This window comes from Homo sapiens, chromosome 15 (genome assembly GCF_000001405.40).
Source record: "Homo sapiens chromosome 15, GRCh38.p14 Primary Assembly".
Lineage (NCBI taxonomy): Eukaryota > Metazoa > Chordata > Mammalia > Primates > Hominidae > Homo > Homo sapiens.
In genome coordinates, this window is record NC_000015.10 from 83342992 (window position 1) to 83351206 (window position 8215).

Below are 8215 nucleotides of genomic sequence, written 5' to 3' on the forward strand. Positions count from 1 at the left end.
AGCCCAGGAGTTCAAGACCAACCTAGGCAACATAGGGAGACCCCCGTCTCTACAAAAAATAAAAACAAATTAGCTGGGTGTAGTGGCACGCACTTGTAGTCCCAACTACTCAGGAGGCTGAGGTGGGAAGGTTGCTTGAACCTGGGAGGTTGAGGCTGCAGTGAGCCATGACTGTACCACTGCACTCCAGCCTGGGTGACAGAGTAAGACCCTATCTCAAAACAAAAAAACAAAAACAAAAACAAAAACAAAAAACACACCCCAAAATGCTGGAATTTGTTGAGACTTAATTTTTGAGCCTACCGGGTGCGGTGGCTCACGCCTGTAATCCCAGTACTTTGGGAGGCCTTGGCGGTCAGATCACTTGATGTCAGGAGTTTGAGACCAGCCTGGCCAACATGGTGAAACTCTGTCTCTACTAAAAATACAAAAATTAGCCAGGCATGGTGATGCATGCCTGTAATCACAGCTACTTGGGAGGCTGAGGCATGAGAATCACTGGAACTCAGGAGGCAGAGGCTGCAGTGAGCCAATATTGCACCACTGCACTCCAGCCTGGGCAACAGAGCGAGACTCTGTCTCAAAAATAAATTTTTTTTTTGAACCAACATTATATGGTCAATTTTGGAAAAGCATTCCCATGTACACTTGAAAAGAATGTGGATTTGCTATAGACAATAGCAAAGACATGAAATCAACCTAGGTGCTCATCAACAGTGGATTGGATAAAGAGAATGTGGTAGATATACACCATGGAATACTAAGCAGCCATACAAAAGAATGAGATTATGTGCTTTGCAGCAGCATGGATGCAGCTAGAGGTCATTATCCTAAGCAAATTAACATAGAAACAGAGGACCAAATATCATATGCTCTCACTTATAAGTGGGAGCTAAACATTGGGTACACATGAACATAAAGATGGGAACAACAGACACTGGAGACTCCAAAAGAGGGGAGGTAGGGAAGTGGGGCAAAGGCTGAAGAACTTTCTATCAGGTACTATGTTCACTATATGGGTGATGAGATCAGTACAGCATAAGTATATACCCTTGTAAGACACCTGCACATGTGCCCCCTGAATCTAAAATGAAAATTTAAAAAAGAATGTGCATTCTGCATTTATTAGATAAAGTGTGTGTGTAATCAGATTGTTTGTTAAAATCTTCCCATATTGTTACTCATGTTTTGTCTGCTTATTCTATCAGTTACTACTACAAGAAGCGTGCTAGTATCTTTTACCATGAGGCAAGGCTGGGCTCTTGTCTTGGTGAGTACTAGCCTACTTCCAAGTCTCCTTTATTCCTAGAGTCTCAGTTCTTCAGGTGCTTCAAATGAAATCCTGAGTGTTTACCATGCATGGCCATTTCTTCCTGGTGGTCCCGAATATTTACTCCTCCCAGCTGTATGAGACTGCAGTAAGCTCTACCCAGCTTCTCAGTTGTTCCTTCACAGCTTTCTGTGCAGTGCCGAGTGCCCAGTCTCTCAGCTGTTGCCTTAGAGTTGACAAGAGCAAGAGTGGTGCCTCCACCAGGCTTGCTAGTCTGTGTCTCCCTCCTCTCCGGGATCTTGGCCCCTCAGGTTCACTGCCTGCATGGCTCTTGCACAACTTCAAACAGGTTGTATTTTCCTTACTATTATCTAGTTTTAAGCAGGTCTCCCCTTGCTGGAAGTGAAAATCCTTTTTCAGAGAATTTTTATCTCTTTAAAAAATATGTAAGAATTTAAAATTCAAAAAATTAAGAGTAAGTTGACCCCCAGTGGAAAGAAATACCTTTTTTACAAGGTTCAACTAAGAGCCCACACCACAGATATGATTAACTGTTAATTCGTTTAGTGAGATTTTTCACTGTGTTCCTCCTCCCCAATTTTATTTATTATACCAACAACAGTAATAAAGAAGCAGTTAATAACCCATGATCTCATTCTTCTAAATAAAAACACACCTCTGTTTTTATTTTTATTTTGGGGGACTTACTTTTATAATATGCCCTTTGTTCATGCATAAATTCTATCTATGGTGCCATAATTGATGTATTATTTCCCTTAACATCACTTCATAAAAATATTCTATCACGCCAGGCACAGTGGCTCACGCCTGTAATCCCAGCAATTTGGGAGGCGGAGGTGGGCAGATCACTTGAGGTCGGGAGTTTGAGACCATCCTGACCAACATGGTGAAACCCTGTCTCTATAAAAAATACAAAAATTAGCCGGGCATCGTGCCACACACCTGTACTTCCAGCTACTCGGGAGGCTGAGGTAGGAGAATTGCTTGAACCTGGGAGATGGAGGTTGCAATGAGCTGAGATCGCGCCACTGCACTCCTGCCTGGTGATAGAGCAAGACTTCGTCTCAAAAATAAAAAAATTATATATATATAACATTCTATTAGTCTATGTAATCCTAATTTTAATAACTATATCACGTAGCCTGAATTGTCTTATATACTTGTCTTGAAACTTCTATTTACTCAGTAAATTGCCTGCGTATCTACTCAGTAAACTGCCTGCGACCAGTCTTTATTTTTAAAATTGAGTCTATCATAAATACTTAAAAATGGCTTTCCTTAGGCCGGGCGTGTGCCGGTGGCACTTTGAGAGGCCGGCACTTTGGGAGGCCAGCACTTTGGAAGCTGAGGCAGGCGGATCACGAGGTCAAGAGATCGAGATCATCCTGGCTAACAGGTGAAACCCTGTCTCTACTAAAAATACAAAAAATTAGCCGGGTGTGGTGGCAGGCACCTGTAGTCCCAGCTACTCGGGAGGCTGAGGCAGGAGAATGGCATGAACCCGGGAGGCGGAGCTTGCAGTGAGCCGAGATCGGGCCACCATACTCCAGCCTGGGCAACAGAGCAAGGCTCCGTCTCAAAAAAAAAAAAAAAAAAAAAAAAAAAAAAAAAAAAAAAAGGCTTTCCTTTTAAATCTATGCTATTTTATTTCTCAAAGTTTTTTCCCCATACAGTTAAATCTGTCACTCTTTTGCCCCTTGTAAATTCTTATATTGCAGAAAAACCAAACCATAGCTGGCTGTTTGCATTTGCTGAGAATATATTTTAGAGTGCCCACACAGCAAGAGAGTCTATGATTATTGCCCTAAACCACACCAAGCATCGTGAGGAAATGAGGATGAGGATATGCTCTTGCTCTTGAGTGGCTTGCGCCCTCAAGGGAGTGCTAAGTGTTCCTTGCACATAAGCTGCTTGTGTTATTCCAAAAGGACCTGGGAAACAGTGTGAAAAAACTTCAGGGGAAAACAAAGTAAGTATTCTCCTTCTTAACTGTCCTTCATATTTGGGGGGAATCAGGCAAGACTTTGCTGAGAAGTTAAGCGAATAGAAATTGTTAGTAGAGAAGATGGTTCTAGGCAGAGGGAAACGCACGTGTCACAATGTGGAAGCTTGTGAGAGCATCAAGTGTCAAGGAAGCAAGGCATGCTTAGCATGTAGGGGAATGGAGAGGAATGGAGAACAGTGGCGGCAAAGGTGGCCAAGTGAGGTTGAAGTCTTTCTTACTTCTTTGCCCAATCAAAATTCCTCTTCTCTGAGTGCTGACATCAGCAAACTGCCTGGAATGAGGTTTGACTCTCTCTGAGGGCTTTTGAATTTTCAACTGGATTAATCTAACTGGTGTAGAGCATATGGAAAATCTTTTTTAAGTAGGGAACTTCTGTACCTATTCCAGACCATCAGCTCCTCCTCTCTGGGGTTCCATTCCTATCCTTTCCTTTCTTTTGCAATTTGGACTCAGTAAAAATAAATATTTATTGCTTAAATTGGCACAGAGAACCATGAACATTTTCATCAGCCAGTTAATGAGAACTTCTGAATACCTCTTTATTAAGAGAACCGAAATTAAATATGAACGCAGATCAGCATTCTCAAGTTGCACGTGGCTGTTTCAAGAACTCAAATCTCAGCATTACACCATTATGCTAGATGTGGAGCACAGAGAAGTCATTTGATTACTGTCAATTACAGTTCTGAATTGTTGAGTTATTATAGCAGAGTATCATTTATTTGTTCTTTTTGGAACAAAATTTAAAAGGAATCAGGCTGGGCATGGTGGCTCACGCCTGTAATCCCAGCACTTTGTGAGGCAGAGGCAAGCAGATTACCTGAGGTCAGGAGTTTGAGACTAGCCTGGCTAACATGGTAAAACCTTGTCTCTAGTAAAAATACAAAAATTAGCCGGGTGTGGTGGTGCACACCTGTAATCCCAGCTACTTGGCAGGCTGAGGCAGGAGAATGGCTTGAACCTGGGAGGCAGAAGCTGCAGTGAGCCAAGATTGTGCCATTGCACTCCAGCCTGGGCAACAGAGTGAGACCCCGTCTCAAAAAAATAGAAAATAAAAATAAATAAAAGGAATCAGCACTGCATCTTTCACCCTAAAGGTAAACTTTCATCATTCTTAATTCTTGCTTTTTTTCCCACGAGTACTATACTACATGTGTCATCCCCATTGTCCCTTCCTGTGTCCATGGCAGAAATTACCAGTTGATCTTGAGGACTTTACAGTTGAGCCACAATATGGCCTTAAAGCCTTCCCAACCTGAGTGCCAGGCATCACAATTCATGGATTGTATGTGTTTGTGAGATGAAACCTATTTACTTCCCCAGCATCATTTCTACATGCTCCTTTTTTTATTTTTTTGAGACAGAGTCTCACTTTGTTGCCGGGGTTTCACCATGTTGGCCAGGATGGTCTCGATCTCCTGGCCTCATGATCCGCCTCCCTGGGCCTCCCAAATTGCTGGGATTACAGGTGTGAACCACCATGCCCAGCCTCCTTATTTTTTCTGCCAGAAACCTTATGCTTTGAACATAAGTCTCCAGCTCTGTGGCATTCATACATTTCTTCCCAGTTCATGACACATTTACAGTCTTATTTTCCTCCTCAATCTTTAGCAATGGAGGACTCTCCTCACATCCCCTTAACAGAAACATCAATGGCAAAATATACAGGTTGGGAATTCCTATACCAGGAACAAATCACCTGTACAGCAGTATTTTCCAAATGAGGAGAATTCTAAAAAGGAATTTGGAGAAAACAACACATTTCCAAAAATTTTCTTATCTGTGAGATTTCCTGAAAGATTTTTTTTTTAAGGGTAAATGATGGTAAAAAGATGGCCTTGAAATGGCCCCAACCTTCTGGCACAGAAAGCTTTTTTCTGTAAAGCTTCTGTTTGAGCTCACAGCAGACTATTTACACTACAAAAATAGCATATGCTTGTTTATTGTAAAAACAGTCACAAAATACAAAGCAAAATGTGAAAGTCCCCACTTTCCTTTCCAACTCCCTAAAGGTAATTACTATTAAAGGATTTTTAAGACAGTCTTCTATGCTTATATAAGTCTATGTGTCTCTCCGCATGTAATGAGAGCATTTTTTAACCAAGAATGGGATTAGCTGGGGTTGGTGGCATGTGCCTGTAGTCCCAGCTACTCAGGAGCCTGAGGCAGGAGGATCGTTTGAGCCCAAGAGTTCGAGTTTAGCCTGGGCAATGTAGTGAGACCCCCATCTCTAAAAAAAAAAACAAAAAGTAAGATTATAGAAGATGTTATTCTGTGATTTGCTTTATTCCTCATATGATACATGTGTGTATAGATATATATTGTATCTTTCCATGGCAATACATACAATTATACTCCCTTCTATCAGTAGCTGAATAATTTTTCATTATGTGGATGTGCCACAATTATTGAACTTTCTACAATTACTAGGCTTTTGCATTATTAAAATGGCACAATATATTAAATATATTTATAAAATGTATATATTTATATATGAAATATAAAAGCTCTATATTTAATGTTACATTTCCCTGATCACTATTGAGGTTAAACATTAACATTTCCCCACACATTTATTAACCATTTGCATTTCTTCTATAAATTCCTTGTTTATATTCTTTGCTTATTTTTAATTTTTAATTTATTTTTATTTTTTGAGGCAGGGTCTTGCTCTGTTGCCCAGACTGGAGTGCAGTGGTGAGATCAGAGCTCACTGCAGCCTCGTCCTCCCAGGCTCAGGTGATCCTCTCACCTCAACCTCACTTGGCTGAGTGTAGTCAGCTGGGACTACAGGCGCACACCACCACATTTGGCTAATTTTTGTATTTTTTTGTAGAGATGGGGATCCACTATGTTGCCCAGGGTGGTCTTGAACTCCTGGGCTCAAGCGATCCTCTTGCCTCAGCCTCCCAAAGTGCTGGGGTTACAGGTATGAGTCACCACGCCGGCTTCTTTGCCTAATTTTATATAAGGTTGTCATTTTATTGATTTGAACTTGCTTGAGTGTGTTTGCAGTGCTTTTCAATCATGGCCACACACTAGAATCACCCAGGGAACTTTTAAATAACAGGCCCCACCCTGTGAAATACTCTGATTCCAGTGGGCTGTGGTGATGTCCAGGTGTTGAGTTTTAGACTTTCTAGGTGAGTCTGATGTGCAGTCAAGGTGGAGAGTCCCTGGTCCAGGTGATTTAGATAGCAGTGGGTGATTAGGTAGGCTAGAACGCAGGGTCACAGGGAATAAGAAGTCAAGGAGCTAAGAGGCCAGGGTGTTGGAAGAATTGTGTATATCGTTGCATCAGTCTGCTTGCGCTGCTGTAAGAAAATACCACAGGTGGATTGGCTTCAACAACAAAATTTTATTTTCTCACAGTGTTGAAAGCTAGAAAGTCCAAAATCAAAGTCTGGCTGTTTTCCTAGCTTGCAGCCAGACACTTGTCACTGTGTTCTCAAATGGCAGAGAAAGAGGGTGCTCTGGCCACCCTTCATTTTCTTCTGAGGACACTAATTCCATCTTTGGGGTCCCACCCTCATGACCTCATCTAAACCTAATTACCTCCCCGAAGGCCCATCTCCAAATACACATTGGTGGTTAGGGCTTCAACATAATACATTTTAGGGGGACACGTACTTTCAGTCCATAACAGTGGTGTCCACTATTTCATTACTCATGTTGTAATTTTGAGCTCATTATCTTTTTGTCTTGAGACTTGTTGGTTTTGCTATGTTAATCTTTCTTCTATTGTGCTTGGTTCTCACCTCTGTTCTGTATATTCACTCCACTTTCATTTGTTCCTCTTCACAGTCATATCAGTCACAGGTTCAGAGGGCAGCCCATTTGTAGGACCCCATTCATCCGTGTTTACCCCCAAATTAGGAGTAGAAACCCACATCTGGTCATTGGAGATTAATGGATAAAATACTTTTAGATTGCTTATTCTCAGGCACCCTCATTAGACCTGTACAGTACCCAATTTTTTGGAGAGTTTTTAGGAGGCTGGGTTAGGTAAGAGCAACTAGTTTTGAAATAGAAGTAGGTGTGCATGCCCTGGAAGCACAGGAAATCCTCAAATCTGACAAGTGATTTCATAATTTGATCCAAAGCGCCATAGGCTGAAGGCAAGGAGGACAAGTGCAGTGAAAATCAAAGGAAGAGGCAATATGGGGACGTGGTATGCACCCTGCAGAGAAAAGCAGAGGATCATCCTAGCCCAGCCTTGCCACCAACTTGCCAAGGGGACCTGGGCCAGCACTGGCCCACCCTGGACTCACTTTATCCTTTGGTAATAGAAGGGGCTGGAGGGGTTTCTGAGGTCTCTTCCAGCCCTACATGCCTTTAACCAGGAGAACAACATGAAACTCAAAACTCTGCATTTAGAATTTAATTGTCCATGGATACAGTAAAGTCTACATAGGTATCTTCTCTCTGGTTTATAATTTTTTTTTAAGTAATTAAATCCTTAATTCAGGAGAAAAGAATTGGGACAACTGGGTCTAAAGTGTGTAGCTTCCGCATCTTTACATCTGCCTGTGGTCCTAGTCGTGGAATATTTGCCAAACAGTAACCACTTTGTTGAGGGCATTTTACCAGGTAATGATGTTTAAAGTGCAGCATAGTGGCTTTCAAATATGAATACTAAAACATTTAAAATATGCACACATGACATATAGTTCTAGAAAATTTCAAGGAAAGGAGGGTTCTATAGTACCAAAATTTATTCACCAATTTCTTGCCTGCCTTCCTTCCTCCCTCCTTTCCTTCCACGAATATATCAGCATCTTCCATGTGCCAATCATCTTAGTTTGCCCGGGACTTTTCCAGCTTTAACACTGAAAGTCCCGGGTTCTGGGTACCCCTTAGTTCTCAAATAAATGGGGACAGTTTTTCAGGCACTGTACAAAGCACTGAGTATATAGCAG

The 8215-nt window shown here is 41.7% G+C and overlaps 1 long non-coding RNA gene across 1 annotated transcript; it reads left to right on the forward strand.

Moving 5' to 3' along the window:
- The first annotated feature begins 2650 nt into the window (after positions 1 to 2650).
- On the forward strand, positions 2651 to 7595 carry LOC105370933 (uncharacterized). Its single transcript, XR_932544.1, has 3 exons — positions 2651 to 2687; positions 3010 to 3260; positions 7400 to 7595. It is a non-coding gene; the product is annotated as an uncharacterized LOC105370933 (long non-coding RNA).
- The last annotated feature ends 620 nt before the right edge of the window (positions 7596 to 8215 follow it).